The sequence below is a fragment of the Homo sapiens genome, chromosome 8, assembly GCF_000001405.40.
Source record: "Homo sapiens chromosome 8, GRCh38.p14 Primary Assembly".
NCBI classification, from domain to species: domain Eukaryota; kingdom Metazoa; phylum Chordata; class Mammalia; order Primates; family Hominidae; genus Homo; species Homo sapiens.
Window position 1 is genome coordinate 134,717,816 of NC_000008.11, and position 17,399 is coordinate 134,735,214.

Consider the following 17,399-nt stretch of genomic DNA (forward strand, 5'->3'; position numbering starts at 1 on the left):
TCTCAAGTAATTGGGATTACAAGCGCTTGCCACCATGCCCAGCCAATTTTTGTATTTTTAGTAGAGAAGGAGTTTTACCATGTTGGCCAGGCTGGTCTTGAACTCCTGACCTCAAGTGATCTGCCCACCTCAGCCTCCCAAAGTGTTGGGATTACAGGCATGAGCCTCCATGTCCAGTGTAATAACAACTGTTTTTACAAAGTTAAGGTATGGGTGCAGTAGGTTTAGGTATGGTGCAGTAAAAACTTTTGTGTTAAATTTTAAGGTATTTGAAGCATTTCGAAGTTACATTCGACAGTTACATTGAAACAAGATAATTTGACTGTGTAAATGTTTAGGAAAATTTTATTTTGAAAGTTTTAAGTTTTGATTTATCAGTTGTATTTAAATCGTTTAGGAAAGGCCGGGTGCAGTGGTTCACACCTGTAATTCCAGCACTTTGGGAGGCCGAGGCAGGAGGATCACAAGGTCAGGAGTTCAAGAGCAGCATGGCCAAAATGATGAAGCCCCAACTCTACCAAAAATATAAAACATTAGCTGGGTGTGGTAGCATGCACCTGTAATCCCAGCTACTTGGGAGGCTGAGGCAGGAGAATTGCTTGAACCCAGGAGGTGGAGGTTGCAGTGAGCCGAGATCACGCCATTCACTCCAGCCTGGGCGACAGATTAAGACCTGTCTCAAAGAAAAAAAATAGTTTAGGAAAAGGGTGACTATATTTATAACCAATTTTCTTTAAATCAACTATGAATAAGAGTAACAGGGCCATGAAAAAAGGGGCAGGGAGTGGGATTTGGATCCCAGCAAAGAAACGGAAAACCAGGAGAGCTACCAGAGCCTAGCACTGTTGGGTGCACAGCTGGGACCCAATAAACCGTTGTTGAAGAAAAGGATAAGGGGTAGAGGGAGGGAAAGATGCAGTAAGGGATTGAGGAAAAGGAATAATACGTAATTAAGCATTTATTTGTAGCTGTCACATAAACAGCACTGCTTTGGATGTTCAGAAGAGAAAATAACTATTTCAAATAAAGGATGGCATCTGGTGTCCACGACTAGAGGGCTGGTTAAACGGATAGTTCAGCCATACAGGGAAATATGACGTGGCAGTTTGAAAGAATGAGAGTGCCACGTGCAGAGACCCGGGGTGTGCTCTGCAGTGCATCCTTGAGTGAAAAGAGCCAGGTGCAGGACAGCATCGGGAGCACACTGTCGCTTGTGAACACGGTTGTACCTGCACAGAAAAGCTGAAAATGTGGAAAGAAACCGGCTAGAGCAGACAGCTTTGGAGACAATGTCTGGGCCTGGAGATCTGGCTCACAGGGAGACTGACTTCACTGAACATCCTTTTGAAATATTGGGATGTTTAACCATATGCATATACTGCCTTTTCAGAGAAGAAGGGGGAGGATTTGGAAGCCCAATCTCCAGGTCTGGTCCTCCTTTTATTACTCAGTAGCTTTGACTTTGGACAACTTACTTATCTGCAATGTGCTTCCCTTCTCTGGGCAATGAAGGTGTTGAGCCCCACATCAGGGGTTGGTGGAAGGGAAATGAGACAAGAAAATGCAGTTGAGTGCCACGGGTGGGGGCGAATCAAGTGGTTTCAGCCCCTTTGGGGACCAAAGAAGCCCAGCAGCAGCAGCAGCGAGGGTGAGAGCCAACATACAGGGTGCTGTTTGATTTAAGGGCTGCCGCCAGCTCGCTGCAGAACTCGAAAAAGTGACCTTAAAGTCTCTGGATTTCAGTTCTTTCATCTGTAAAAGGGCACTGGTGGGGAGTGGCAATGACACTAGATGGTTCACTTCAGCTAAAAACAGACATAAAACATGATTTTAATATTGGTTGGAAATGACTCAGTGCAGTAACAGAGGCAGAAAAAAAGCCCCCAAGGGAGTTTGCAGCACAGAACCATCGCTTCCAGCTGTGAATGTGCAGAGGGGAAGAGGACGTTGCAGAAAGGAGAAACTGGTGGTCTCTTTACCTAAATCACCCAGACCCTGGTGCCAGGCAAATGTTCACTCTTTCAGCCGTTTTTGGAAAGGCCAACAGAAAGGAGAGGTACCTAGACAGTCTGTACAATGGTGGCCCCCAATGAACTATGCCTCCTTGTAATCATGTCCTAGTGTAATCCCCTCTGACACTGACTTTGGGATTGACCATGTGACTTGCTTTCGCCATGGAACACAAACAGCACAAGCACAAACTTGATAAGCACTTGGACACTGGGTCTTTGGAACGCCGCCTCTGGAAGCCAGCATCCATGCTGTAAGGAAGCTCAAGCTAAACTACCAGATGATGAGAGGACATGGAGAGAAAACCCAGAGGACAGGAGTCCTCATGGACATTCAATCTTAGCTGTTCCCCAGCCAATGCAGCCACATGGGTGACCTCGGCAACCCTGCACTGTGCAAAAGAACTACCCAGCTGAACCAGTCAACCCATAGGATTGCAAAACATGATAACCAGTTGTTGATTTAAGCCACTAAGTGTGGGAGTAGTTTTTTGGGCAGCAAAAGATAACTTAGTATTGTGGGAAGCTAAAATTTCAGTTTCAGGGAGGGTTTTGAGAGTTGATGAGTCCATTTGGGGGAAGGATGTAGTCTTAAGCTTACTTCCCCAGAAGCAAAAGGGGAATGAGATAAACAGACCTTTGGCTGGACTCCAAGAGTCTTTCAACCAAAGAAAGTTTACTGAAGAAAAAAAGAGAAACTTGGCCGAGATCTGAAGTGTGATGAGAATTTGGAACACGGAAGACAAGCCAGGAGGCCCTTCTGAAAGTAGGAAGCCACAGAAGCAAACGGTGCCAAGGAGGACGATCCAGGGCGGGCCTGGCCGCAAGAGGGCACCTTGCAGAAAGCACCGCAGTTGGCAGTAAGCAGGCATTTTCCAGAAGAATCCCGAAGGCAAATACTCTGTTCTGCTCTCAGTTAACCTGTGCTACTGTCAGACCACATACACTGTAGAGTTCAGAGGTAGCTGCTATGGGAGTGAATCTTCTTGCTGCTGCCAAAGTGAGTAAAAATCAAACGGAATAAAATAATAATGGTGGTATGGGCCCAGTCTTCTAGAGTTTTCCATGCCCTTCATTTCACATAGCCTTCACACCATCCTGTAGGGTCGGGAGGGCATGAATAAGAACCCTCCTCCCAAAGATGAAAGAACAGAGAACAAAAGGGGCTGAGGGACTTTTGTGAGACCACGCGGCAAGCTGGGGCCTGGAAACATGAGCTCATCCATCCCGGCCTTTCTGCTGTGGCTCTATCATCCACTTGTCCAGGGAGGGTGCCAGCCCTACGTGTGTTTAGTGAGAAGTGTGGGGTGAGAGCAACCACAGGAAAGAAAGCCCCGTTGTGACAACGTTGTGCCCTGAGCTGCCTGGCCCACTCATTCCACTGGCCTGTGTTCTACCCAGGACGGGCCGCATGTCCCAGGGTTTCTGCTGAGCAACCAGTCAGCGTGCTGCTGAGCACCCGGGCCCGATGTGAAATGGTCAGCTCCTTTCCTTCTACCAGTGCCAACTGCTGCACCTGCCAGCCTCTGCCTAGCCTCCACCACTGATGCTGCTGTAAGAGGAAGAAGATTCCTGTCTTAACAGAATTCTCATGCATGCCTTTCAAACCGAGGAGCTCACAGGCTGACGGAAGAGGATGACAGGGAGTGGAGGCAGCTGCACTCGGGTGTTTATAGTGCACATACATGATTCATCTCAAACCAGACAAGCCATGCTGCACCCGACGGCTCGCCATTTCTCAGAGATGCCAAGCCTTCTTACAACTCTGAGCCTCTGCATGTGTCTAGAACATTTTACCCATATTTCTCTACCTGCTGGACTCCTTTCCATCCTTCAAAACTCAGACCAAATGTCCTTGCTCTGTGAAACCCTCCTTCTTCCCAGGCAAGTTAATGGCTCCCATCGCCCCTTTCCGTGATTCTTACATATTGTACCATATCTTGTAACATACTTGACTTCTCTCTTGAACAGGGGACTCCTGCAGGCCAGCAGCAGGGACGGACTCACCTCCCTGTGCCCTCTCCCAGCAGATGACCTCAGCCCTCACAGTTGAAGAAGTTGGTAAGAAACTGACAATTTGGTGTAGGAAAATTTAAAAAACTGTCAGCAAGTTCACTGAATAACATTTGGAGGACTTCATTATGAAAAAGGGATCAGGCCATTCATTCATTCCTTAAGCATTTATGGCGTGCCCACCAGGTGCCCAAAGTGTGCTCCAAAGAGGCACAGGTGAGGCCACAGGATCTGTCCTCAGATCCGGATTTCACAGCCCAGTGGAGGAAGTGATGTCTAACAAGGTGAGTGTCATACAGCACACCACTCACGGGAGAAAAAAAGCTCTGGAGCAATGGCAACGGGACAGAGCCCACCCGAGGAGATGGGAAGATGTGGGAGGCACACCTCAGAGGGGTGGAGAGTCCCTGGGAACTGTGCTTCAGGCAGAAGGGACAGCCTAGGCGAGAAATAGCATGCCAGGCACAGGGGAATTTTATCATAAGGGGAGGCAAGAGTATAAGAAAACCGGGTTTGCCCTATCGCATTCAAGGGTGGCTCTCTTGGCCAGCATCATTCAGGTGGCTGTTTTGAGTTGTTCCCGGCAGCCTCCACCAAAGACAAAAGAGGACTGTGTACAAGCTCTCACCTGGCCAGGCCCTCGTGACTGGCAGCTTACATTGCCAAGACAGCTGCTTGGATCATGAGATGTAGCACAGCTGGTCCAAAAGGCAAATAAGAAACGATCCGTGGTGTCACCTCAAGTGTCTCAAAATCATTGAAGCACATGCTGAGAGCCCACCTCTCACTTTGCAGATGAGGAAGCAGAGGAGGGGAGGGAGTTGTCTAAGGTCACACCACAGGATAAGCATTGAGTGACAGGGCAGGAATCAGGCACCTGGAGATGGAGCTGCAAAGGACACTGTCCTCGACCTTGAGGGGCTTACAACGTGTTATTGACTGAACTGTGCCCCCCTTAACTCGTATGTTGAAATCCTGACCCCCAATACTTCCAAATGTGACTGCATTTGGAGAAAGGGCCTTTAAAGAGGTTATTAAGGTAAAGGGAGGTCATGAGTGGACTCTAATCCAACATGGCCAGGGTCATATTCCAAAAGTGGAAATTAGGACAGAGACACACAGAAGACACAGAGAAAAGGTGGCCATCTACGAGCCACCTTCTACAAGAGAGGCCTCAGAATGAACCCAACCCTGCTGACACCTTGATCTTGGACTTCTAGCCACCAGAATGGTGAGGACATAAATTCCTGTTGCTTAAGCCACCCAGTCTGTGGTATTCGTTACAGCAGTCACAGAAAAATAGTACACAGGCCTTGAGAAACAGACGTGAACACTGCTCCAATCCCTGGAGTAACAGGGATTCCTGTGAGCTGCCTGACTGCAGGCAGCACTGTCAGCATCCCCATCCCCCAGGATCGCCTGGGACCTCCCTCTTATCACATCGCTCCACCTCAGCTCCTTGGCAGCCAGGCCTCCAGCGGGAGGCAGAGGGCATCCTCAAGCTGGGCAATTGGAGGAGCATTTAATGAAGGGGCTCTTTACAAAGGTGTGGGCAGGGTTTTGGGAGGTCAGAGAGGAATGATGCAGCCCTTCTGCAACCTCGCCTCACCCCAGGCCTGCAGGCATGCGGAGGGAGTGCCCGCTGGAACCCAGGGCCAGGACAGGGCCTGTGCAGAGGAGTCCACCTTCAGCAAGACGGACCACCAATACTCTGCGACTTAGAGAAGGAGACTGAGGAATAAATGCCCAGACCGTACTCCGCTCCTGCCCTCCTGGTTTCCTGCCAGAGTCTCCCCTTGTCTGAAGCCAACCTGAAGACACCCCTTGAGGACCCCTTCACTGTACTGGGACCATGGGGGGCTGAGCCTCTGGGATCAGTCACCTCCCTAACCTCCTGCATGAGGAACAACTTGACGAACACACATTTCAACCTGTAACAGGGTGGACAAGCAGAACCCTTCTTCAGAAGCACATTTATGAAGTTCCCGCAGTAACTGGCTCAGAGAGAAATGCTGCTGTAACAGCTGAGAGAAAACTGATAACCCTGAAAATAAAGTGTCCATGGAAATCTCATATATTGCCTATTGTTTAAAAACAATGTCTCACATAAAAGAGGTGATGGATTAGTTTCTTTCATTATGCTGCCTCAAGCTATCTACGTGGACAAAAACCTACGCAGCTGCTTTTACACTTTAGAGCTAGACTTGATTCACTTCCATTCTTAGGAGTCAGGGGTGGCATTTGGTGGGCATCTCTTGATGCAGAATCTTATGCCAGTTTCTATAAGCAGGCTCAGGTGCCATCTGCATAGGAACTCCAGAGGGTGGACATGTAAAGAAACTTTGGGACTGTGCATTGGTCACCATCTTGGAGGGTGATGGCAGCTGCCCTGTAAATTATTGGGTAGGCATCTTGAGAGGCAGGGAGATGCAGTGAGCTCCAAGCCCAGTCAAGGCATAGCAGAAGGAAGGACAATGGAACACAGGTGACCCAGGGTGACATTTGTCAATAGATACAGCATGGACACTGGCTAATCAGAAAGAACGCATGCCCCTGATGTGCCAGGGGTTACTCCTTTAATTTTAGAAGCTGAGAAAGAAGGTCCTAGGAGTTTGGGGCCAGTGGGCTATACTGCCAAGAGTATGGGGACACAGGGCCAGGGCTTAAAGAGGTGCTATTTACTAAATCACTAAATAGGGAAAGATTTCGTTAGTATAATAACCACCATGGCCATAACTCATGTATATGGGTTGAACAGCAGCCCTGCTGGTAGGTGGCCAACTGGTCTCGGGTGGTCTGGGCCTTTCCTGGTTTCGTCACTTAAAGTCCCAGAACCTCTTTAGCCTGCCCTGGGTATCATTCTATCAGTTACGTTACCTGCCAGTCAAGTTACACAGTGCAGGCTAGAAGCTCTCAAAGGGGAGCTGTCTATAGCAAGGGGGAGAAACTCGCCTCCCTTCCCCTTACAGAGTCAAGATTACCATGGGCTGTGGGGGAATTCACCCCACACTCCCCAGTTAAAGCGCTTCTCCCTTTGCGAACTGAAGTCCAAGCAGTTCTCACCCATGGAAGTCCTTGGCAACCAAGCTCACCTCTCCACCTGTGCTCTCCACCGCAAGCTCAGTTGCAGTTGCACCTCTGCAGGTTCTTTAAAGCCCCTCCCTGGGGCCTTGCTTGAGAAAACAGCCCCCCATCTGCTCCTACCCCTGCTCCTCTTTGCAGATCTCCCTCCAGCTCTCTGGGCTGGAGGTAACCTCCACAGAGAAGGCTTCCCCAACCCTGCAGATTAAGGCTACCATCCTTCCTGCCCGTTTCCTGGGCACACTGTACCGCCCCATCCCACATATCGTTATGGCTCGTTTAACTACTTTCTCCCTCAGAACTGTAAGCTGCCTCAGGGCACAAGTTCAAGCGCCTGGCAAAGAGTGGTGTATTAGTCTGATCTCAGACGGCTTTCAAGAAATATCTGAGACTCGGCCATTTATAAAGAGGATGAATTGGCTCATGGTTCCACAGGCTGTTCAGGAAGCATAGCACTGGCATCTGCTCAGCTTCTGGGGAAGCCTCAGGAAACTTACAATCATGGCAGGAGATGAAGGGGGAATGGGCACATATTACATGGCCAGCGTAGGAGCAAGAGAGGGACGGGGAGAGGTGCTACACGCTTTTCTACAGCCAGATCTCATGAGAACTCTATCACAAGAACAGCAGCAAAGGTATGGTGCCAAACCATTCACAAAGGATCCACCGCCACGATCTAATCACCTCCCATCAGGTCCCACCCTCAACACTGGCGATTACAATTCAACGTGAGATTTGGATGGGGACACAGAGCCAAACTGTATCAAGTGGGCCTCCCATACATATTGAATGAACGAAGCAACTAGATAGGAGTTAAAGAAAGTGGCATGGGCAAACCAGAGCCCTTTTTGGTAAGTTAATTAAGTCATTGGTCCTATGCACATATAAACAGGAAAAGCTCTGCCTTCAGCTCACCACTGTGAAGCCAGGCTGGGTTGGGAAAGAAGCAGAGAGCCAGGACTCAGTAATTACCGTGTGGCGGTCAACTGTTCATTAATCCGTTCAATTCATTCATTCATTCTATCAATGAATTAATTAGTGGACTTATTCCATTAACTTATTCCATTAATTCATTCTTCTCCTTTAAGACCCATGTTGTGCCAGGCACTGCCTAGGCTCTGTGGGTACAATGTGAGTGAAACAGACAAGAGTCCTCCTTTCATGGGGTCTGGAATTGTTAACAGTGGGGAATTCATATGGGTCCGCAGCAACGTGATTCTTGCTTCTCAAAGGAAAGAATTCATCTGAGGAAGGATCCTTCCTCAGGACAAGCAGGAAAGGAAACGAAGTAAAGTAAACTTGGAAGAGGGCCAAGCGGGCAACTTGAGAGATTCAAGTGCCCTGTTTGACCTTTGAGTTGGGGTTTTATGCATTGGCATGCTTCCAGGGCTTTGCATCTCTCCTCCCTTGATTTTTCCGTCGGGCAAGCTGACTGCATGAGCAGTGGCCTGCTAGCCTCTGGGAGGGGCTGCATGTGCAGTGTGTTTACTGAAATTGTGCACATGCTCACTTGAGGCATTTTCCCCTTACCAGTCGAGTGTTCCTAGAAGAAGGTCATATATACCAGTTGAACGCCACCAATTTGCCTCTTAGTGCACATGCTTGAGCCCACTCACCCAAGTCCTGAGTCCAACTCCTGAGGTCTTATTGGGAAGTTGCTGATCACCAGCTTCAGGGTTTGGAGGGTTTTCTTTGAGATGGGGTCTCACTCTGTCACCCCAGTTGGAGTGCAGTGCTGCGATCTCAGCTCACTGCAACCTCCACCTCCCAGGCTCAAGCAGCAAGCAGTCCTCCCACCTCAGCCTCCTGAGTAGCTGGGACCGCAGGTGAACGCCACCATGCCTGGCTAAATTTTTTTTTTTTGTATTTTGGTAGAGATGGGATTTTGCCATTTTGCCCAGGCTGTTCTTGAACTCCTGAGCTCAAGCAATCCACCGCCTCCCAAAATGCTGGAATTTATAGGTAGAAGCCACCGCACAGGGCTGGGTATTTTCTATCTATTGAGAGACTGCCTTTCCCTGGCACTGGCTGTGATCAATCATTATTTTAGAGAGACAGTTTAGCAACCATCTGACCATTACCTGATGCTCGCCTAACCTTCCTTGCAGAGACCCTTTCCTGCCCTGCTCATGTCTGCCTTGCTACCCACTCTAACTGGATGACTGACGCTAAACAAGCACAAGATAATTTCATCTAAGGAGTGACACGAAGTGGAGAAAAAAAAAAACAAAACAAGGAGTAATGTTTTCTAGAATGTGTCTGCAGGAAGTGAAGTGAATGAATCTTTGGAGTGGGTGAGCAGGAAAGGTCTCTGCAAGTAGGCGACATTTGAGCTGAAACCTGAGTGATAAGAAGGAGCCAGGCTGGTGGACACCTGAGAGAAAAGTGATCTAGATGGAGGAAGTGGCTGGTGCAAAGGTCCTGAGGTCAGGACACTGCTGTGTTTGAGGAGAAGAACGGCTGTGGGGCAAGTTCATTCGTAGGCAGAGGAAAGGGTCCTGTCACTGCGCTGTCTCCTCTATCTGCCTTTCTCTCTCTCTGATCATTGAAGACCCTGTCTCTCCTCCTCTCATGGAACTGCCCTTTTGGGATTTCTACAAACTCTGAAGTATAAAACCAAATTTTAAAACATACTGCAAATTATAATGCTTTTTAAAGTACCACCTATTTTACACGTCAAGCCAGTTTTGTGACTTCAAAATGAATAGGGCTTTTTTTTGAGAAGTCACGAGATGAGAAACTAAGGCTATCCATCTATGTTAGGGGCGGGGAATCTTTTTCTGTAAAGGGCCAGATAGTAAATATTTTCAGTTTTGCAGGTCGCAGGGTGTCTACTGAAGCTACTCCACTCTGCCCCATGAAAGCAGCCAAAGGGAATGTAAATAAAACCCTGTGGCTGTGTGCCAATAAAAGTTTATTTACAGAACCAAGTAGGAAGTGAGATTTGCCCCCTAGGTTATAGTTTGCCAATCCCTAATCTACTTATCATAATGATAAATATCATTATCAAAAATACATTTCTTGTTCTTTTAGCATTAGCTATGGGCCAAGCAAACAGGCCACTTTTGGGTGCTCCTGTCTCCTGGTACTGAGCAGACATGCTGTACCAGGTACAATGTGAGTAATGAGCAGAGGAGTACCTGAAATCTATAATACCTCACCTGGATATACTACCAGTGGTGCAATTCTATTTTTAAAAACTTGAGATTCCAATATTAAATTTTTTAACTTTATGGAATATTTTTCCTAAGGCCAAGCTTAAGCCAGTTGACTCTTCACAACTGACTGGTCTCGGTGGCTATTGGCAGCCTTCCATGATCACAGGGAGGAAGGTGAGGGCCTGAAAGACCCCGCTGGCAATCTCTGCTAGGTAGCATGTACAGGGAAGGCAGACTTCAAATGGAATTGTGCAAAATATTTCTACGCAAGCAGATATAGAAACAGGCATGCAAGCTTTTCCTAAAAGTCTGTGAGGCCCTGCTTTGTGCCCTTCAGACTATCTAGTAAATCATGAAAGGTTCATGTGAAGCAGATACACCAATAATTCAGCAGTAGGGTTTAGCTAATCTTCTTAGCAATCTTAGAGGGACTGGCTGGAAAATCCCCAGCTGCAAGTCCAGGGCACCACTCTGGAGGGTGTGAGCATGCTGGGCTCAGCGGGCTCCTGCATCCATCCACACCAGGACAGGTGTGCCTGCAAAGATGCACATCCAACCCCAGATCCTAAACCATGTTTACTACTGGTGAAAAATTAGCCAAGGATCTAATCAAAAGTTTTGATAACTTATAGCAGCACTCCTGAAGTTTGCATTTCTGAGCAAGGCTTCTAAATGTTAAAATTGCAGAGTCTATATTAAAATCAGTTTGCACACACGTATATAAGAATGTTTATGCTAAAACATTTTAAAGTAAATTATGCATTACATAACATATCTCTCTCCTCTTATAGTAAATTTTTGATGCTTTGGAGAGTTCATTCCTTTTTTTCCAGTTACTCATTCTGGATTTTTTTTAATGGAAAGTGAAAGAAAATATATGACTTTTTATTTTCAATTTTGAAATTGTGGCAATATACTATACACTAATTGTCACATTCAAAAGTTTAAAATAATCCTTAAATATTCTTAGGAGAATTATACTATCAGGAAAGAATGCATATCTTTTCCAACTAATAGCTTCATCTCTAACTAATACCTTTGTAAAGAACGCTGGCCTGTAATTTATAGACATGACCCCTGAATGGCAGAGTCACCATGCCCGACCAGGATGATTTTTTACATCACTCTTAACACTACAATTTACTTTAGTAAACTCTGTGACCCTGGGACCCTCATTCCCAGGCTCCTCTGTAAAATTGGGAGATGGCTGGATTTGGGCTGCCCCTGGGATTTCATCCACCTCGCCATTCTTTTTTTGTTTTGTTTTGTTTTTGAGACGGAGTCTCGCTCTATCACCCAGGCTGGAGTGCAGTGGCGTGATCTCAGCTCACTGCAAGCTCTGCCTCCCAGGTTCATGCCATTCTCCTGCCTCAGCCTCCCAAGTAGCTGGGACTACAGGCGCCTGCCACCACGCCCAGCTAATTTTTTTTGTATTTTTAGTAGAGATGGGGTTTCACCGTGTTAGCCAGGATGGTCTCGATCTCCTGACCTTGTGATCCACCCACCTCGGCCTCACCTCACCATTCTACCACCAGAGTTGGCCAAGCTGTCAGGCCCCGCTTCTGACTGCCACTGAGGACTTTCTTCCCAAATGCAGCTCCCTGTTACTACACCTGAATAGCATCGTCCTTATAAGCAATGCCTCTGAAGCTTGACTGCTTGAGTTTGTAATCCTGATGGGCTGGTTACCCTCACAAGCTTGGGTCCTGGGCATATTCTAAAACTTTGTATGTCTTGGTTTCCCCGTTTGTAAAACAAAACTTAAGAGTATCCACTCCATGGGCTTGTCCTGACGCTTACATGAATTAATACACAATAACTGGATTTTTCTTTTGCAATATTCAAAGCTGTGCTCCTATTAGATTCAGTGGAATCTGGCTTCTTGCAAACCTGACCAATATTTTCATTTTCTCCTCCCTGTCTTTGCATTTTGACAGTGTTTGGGTCAGTTAGATTAGGCTGTTGTCTGCCTGCCATCTGGATTTGGTGACCTGGCCTTTGGTTGTTACGCGCTGCTCCCACTTGTGTCAGGGAGAAAGCAGAAGAGAAGTCTGGCCCGGGAATTTCTTGCTACAAAGGAAGTTCTGGGAATACTGAGGGTGAAGCCTGCACTCTCCTCATCTCCAGAGGGAGCAATGCCCCGGGCCCAATGCCCCCAGTGACAAGGCAAAGGCCCAACGTACTCCTCCCTTGCCTAGCTAGCCAGCTACCCTGCAGCTTGCAGTTATCTGCATCAACCTCGACATCTCCCATGACTCTCGCCTTTTAAAGGTGCACGTGGCACAGTTACAGCCTCCCTTGGATGCTACAGAGTTGCCCAGGCACACAGTCCACTTCCCCACTCCCCCTTCCTGCCAGAGATGAATTTGTCACAAGAGAGACCTTTATCAGTCCCATCATCCTGGATTCCTAGGGCAGCACGTGGAACATCCTCCGTGTTCAGGAACAATTTGTTAGAGGAGAAGATGAATAAATAAACGTCTCCATTCTCTACTGTCAGCAGGTGGCCAGTAGACATTAACAGTAGCATTTTGGTGTGATCCCCTGTTTAAAGATGTGTGCGGACATCTCTTCAAGGGTCCCCATGACAACATTTCACACAAATTATTGGAGTTCAAATGACTAAAGATCCTTTCATTGAACTCCCTCAGTTTACAGATGGGGGACCTGAAGCCCAGAGAAACTAAACATATTCATCAAGCAGCCAGGATGACGAAGGCATGCAAATTCATGTCTTTTGAGCAACTTTAAAGAAGCTAGAAATATTCTGGTTTCTTTTCCTGGGGAAGATAGCATTCCGTGGGAATATGAGCACTGATTTTTTGAACATCTGAAGGGCTACTATATGAAGAAAAGCTCCTAAGAGATCAGAAGTATCCAAAGATGAAACGGTTGCCCCTTGAGGCCATGAATGCTCTATTGCCGGAGGTGTCCAAGCACAAACAGAAATAGCTTAGAGAGAGGAGAAGCATCAAAGTCGGGGGCAGAAAAAATGTCTGAAATGATAAACACAGACAATAGCAAGTGTCAGAAGGATATGGAGCAAGGGGAACCCTCAGACACTGCATGTGGGAGAGGTAATGGTGCAACCACTTTGGAAAACTAGCAGTTTTTAATAAGGTTAAACTTACATCTTCCCTGTGTTCCAACAATTCCACTCCTAGGAATGGACTCAACAGAAACACATATGTATTTTTCGCCAAACACATATATGAGAACTTCATAGCAGGTTACTCATAATAGCCCCAAGTGAGAAACTACCCAATCTACTGCTCATTGACAGTAAAATGTATAAATAAATGTTAGTATATTCACACAATGGAATATTATACAGAAATCAGGAGACTTTTTCTGTAAAGGGCCAGATAGTATTTTCAGCTTTGCAGGCCATATGGCCTACATCTCAACCACTCAGTTCTGTCATTGTAGTGCAAAAGCAGCCATAGACATAGACATATACAGAAATAAATGGGCATGGCTGTGTTTCAAAAAAACCTTAATTTACAAAAGCAGATGGAATACACAGTGTGCTCAGTTTTTGAAAATTCATTAAGGTGCACAGCTATGGTATGTGTACTTTCTGAATGTATATAAAAAGGTTTTCAATTTTTTAAAAAGGGTTTTCAATAACAAGTTTAAAAAGAAATAGGGGCAGGGCAGTTATTGGCCTGTGTGTCTATGATTCAGCGGCTAGTCCCAGATAAAACAGTTAGATAATAGCAAAACTGGAACTGAAATTCAGGCCTCTGGCTCCCAGAAAGGAAAGGGAATTCATACCTATGAGTGTTTCCAGTGTGCAATGCACTTGTCACAGTCATTCCTCATAATAACTCTCAGAGAAGGCATTATTATGCTTATTTTTGTAGATGAGAAAACAGGGGCCCAGAGTGGGTACAAACTTAGCCAGGATCATACATCTTATCTGGAGCAGCAATGCCACCTGAGCCCAGCTCTGTCTGATCCTGACCCCAGGCTCTTAGGTTTCCTCCACAGGCTTTAAATGCAAACATGGCATTTCCTACATGAGCATTGCATGTGTATAAAAATAAACTGTGAGCCCCACACTATGAAATATTATCCGGTTATCACTGGCTTCTGCTGCTGACAGCCAGGGCTGCTAAATCTTATGAGGCTGTGCCCGCTGCTTCTGGGTAAGCCCTGACCATGGGCACAGCTGGGACATAGGCCCGCTCTGCAGGTTTTTTACTGTGGCTTTCCTCACTGAAGCAAGCATAGTGGGATGAGGGGAGAGGGAGAAGCAAGGGCAGACAAGATGCTGGATGATGCAGGTTCTGCAGCCAGGGGAGACCAGAAGGCAGGCAGACTGATGAGGAAGGGGCTTGTCACAAGGGGCCAGTCCAAAAGGGAAACTAAGACCATTCTCCTATCAGGAGCCACTTGCCCCTCCTGTCCGACTCTACTTCTGAGATTCTCTCCCTCACCCTCAACAACCCCTGCTCCCAGTACCAGCTGTAGAAAGAAAGAGAAAGGTACCTACTCATCCAACTCAGAAAATGGGGTAGGGTGAAGTTCTACTTTTGAATGTCTTGTGACAATTTCCATTAGTTCTCAATAGTTAAAAATTAGGAGCGTTTCAGAAAGGAATGCATATACCCAGTGAAAGATGCCAGTCTGAAAAGGCTACATACTTTACGTTTCCAGCAACATCACATTCCGGGTAAAGCACAACTATAGAGACAGTAAAAAGATCAGGGGCTGCCAGGGGCTGGTGTGAGGAGTGGAGAGGAATGGGCACACAGAGCACAGGCTTGTTAGGGCAGTGAGACTATTCCGTAGGATCCTATAATGGTGGGTACATGTCAGTATACCCCGTCACAATCTACAGGAGATTCCTCACAAAGAGTGAACCCAAATGTGAACTATGGGCTTTAGTCAGTAGTAATGTATCAATATTGGTTCATCAATTGTAACAAATGTGCCACACTAATATAAGGTGTTCATTAGAGGGGAAACTGAGGCCAAGAAGAGGGCATACATGGAAATTCTCTATACTTTACACTCAATTTTTCTGTAATCCTAAAACTGCTCCAAAAAATCATCTCCTAATGCTATAAAAATTAGGTGAATTCAATGAAAAAATCTGGATTTCTGTCTTCATGCAAATATCTGGTCTGGGAACATAGGGCCAATATTCCTAGAGCTGCCAGAGTCCAGCAACAACCGCTCCTGGGGAAGAAGCACAGCTTCTCAAGTCCCCAAGTCCTCCACGGCCAAAATGAGCCAATATCACGCTTTAGGTGACCATCCGGCTTTTGGGGTCATTGGAGTTTGAGACTCCCTGGGGTAAAACGAGCAGTTTATGCAATGGTTTTCTGGGTTCCTGAGAAAGTTTCCTGCCCCTGGGGTGTTGAGGCCAGAGATGGAATGGGGATGAATGGGCGAGGCCCTGGGCCCCACTTATGATCCTTCTTCTTTATCTGCTGGACCTATTGTCCTTATCATATAAGATTCACCCCAACAAACTGGCCTGTGGGTAAAATACACATGCAACTTCTAATGCCTTCCTTTAACAGATAGGGAAACTGAGGCTGAGAAGGACGATGACTAGCTAAAGGTGGTTGCTTGCAGGTGGAGGCAGTGCTGTGTCTCTTGATTGTCCCTCTGAAGTTCCCTCTATGAGAAACCCAGTTTTCCATCTTTGTCTCGTCCTTGGTAGGTCACCGTGCCATCACCTGTCCTGACATGACTTGATGGCTTGAGGGATGTTTTGTGCATGGAACATTCCTTTCCCATCATCCAAGACTGCCCTGTTTACTGGACAAGCTTTGTCCTGCGGCCACCCCAGCTCCTCAAAGGCCCTCTCATTCAGGGTGAAGGCCAAAAGGTTTAATTCGAAGAAAATAAAAGCACAGAGGCCTAACAAACATGAGGTCTGTGGGATGCATTTTGAAAATGAGATCCCTGGATGAAACCCTTAAACTTTCCAAGAGCTCATCCTGGTTAGAGAGTGTGGTTACCCTCCTGCTTCAGGACGCCGTTATTAAGGGGTTTTTGCCATGACGCTGCTGTTAGTGTTCTGCCTCATGCTTAGTCGGGGCACCGTCTGTCCTCTGCTGTGGGCTGCTTCTGCCACTTCAGGCTGCTCTCCCCCACTTCAGGGGACTCCCACCACCACTTCAGGATACTCTGGCAACTTTAGGCTGCTTTCACAACCTCAGGATACTCCTGCCACTTCTGCCACTTCCGGCGGCTCCTGTCGCTTCGGGCTGCTCCCTCCACTTCAGGCTGTTCCTATACCCTTGTGACCAGTCTTTATTTTTAGGAAAGATGCTTTCATGAATGTTGGGGCTCCCCAGAGTGTCTGCATCCTGCATGCATCATATAGGTCACATTCTTTCAGCTCACATATATCACACAGTTGTGAGCATTTCACAAACATTTAAAAAGTAGTCATAGTGTGCCTGACACTGTGCACAGAGCAAGGCTTTGTTATCTTGGTGAAGCTGCATGAACAAACCCTCGTGGCACAGTGTGGTGGGTGCAGTAAAAGAGGGGTGGGCAGGATGCCAGGGGAGCACTGGAGAAGCAGCTAAACTACCACCCCCAGAATTAGGCTGGTGGCTCCTGTGAGTTGAGAGGAGAGCTGTCTTGCAGAGCATGCAGGAACTGGACCAGAGGGGCGGCATTCCTAACACCATGTGTTCCGGGAAAGGCAGGTGCTCGGGAGCAGGGAGTGCTGGCCCACAGCTACTGCTCCGACAGAGACTTTTCTAACTGAGAAAGAGCGAGCTGGTGCAGCTGCTCAGTCTGAGGGCATTAGGAATAGTGGAAGGGCAGTGTAACCTAATCCTCTTATCAGATCTGCATAGCCCTGTCCTGCCTCCACACTTGCTGCTCCGTTCCTCTCAAGTCTGTCAACAGCTCAGTCTCCAGGGCCATGAACCACACCTGCCATTTGTTCTGTGCTCAGTGTGGGTGCAAGTGTCTGCTTGTCACCTGTTCCTACTCTATGATTTATTAGGGTAGGCTGTCCAGTTTGTGTGCCTTCACAGGCCAATGTCACTGTGAGTTGGGCCTTAATAATTTTTGTGTCAATGTTGGAAAGATTTTACAGGAGGGTTTTAAAAATCTGGGTCCATGGATTTGGGGGATATAAAAACACTCCAAAATTATATAG

The 17,399-nt window shown here is 47.1% G+C and overlaps 1 protein-coding gene and 1 long non-coding RNA gene across 2 annotated transcripts in view, besides 1 other annotated feature; one reads left to right on the forward strand and one right to left on the reverse strand.

The window, feature by feature from the left end:
* Nucleotides 1–17,399, reverse strand: part of ZFAT (zinc finger and AT-hook domain containing) — a 354,552-nt gene that overhangs the window by 240,028 nt on the left and 97,125 nt on the right. The gene's annotated exons all lie outside the window — the stretch shown is intronic.
* Nucleotides 2,585–3,004: an enhancer, noted in NCBI's record as "active region_28021". NCBI's record gives its function as "activates an Ori minimal core promoter by ATAC-STARR-seq in GM12878 lymphoblastoid cells {active_cell/tissue: GM12878}" and the evidence as "EXISTENCE:reporter gene assay evidence [ECO:0000049][PMID:35858748]".
* Nucleotides 3,987–6,095, forward strand: LOC124902072 (uncharacterized). Its single transcript, XR_007061187.1, has 2 exons — nt 3,987–4,306; nt 5,637–6,095. It is a non-coding gene; the product is annotated as an uncharacterized LOC124902072 (long non-coding RNA).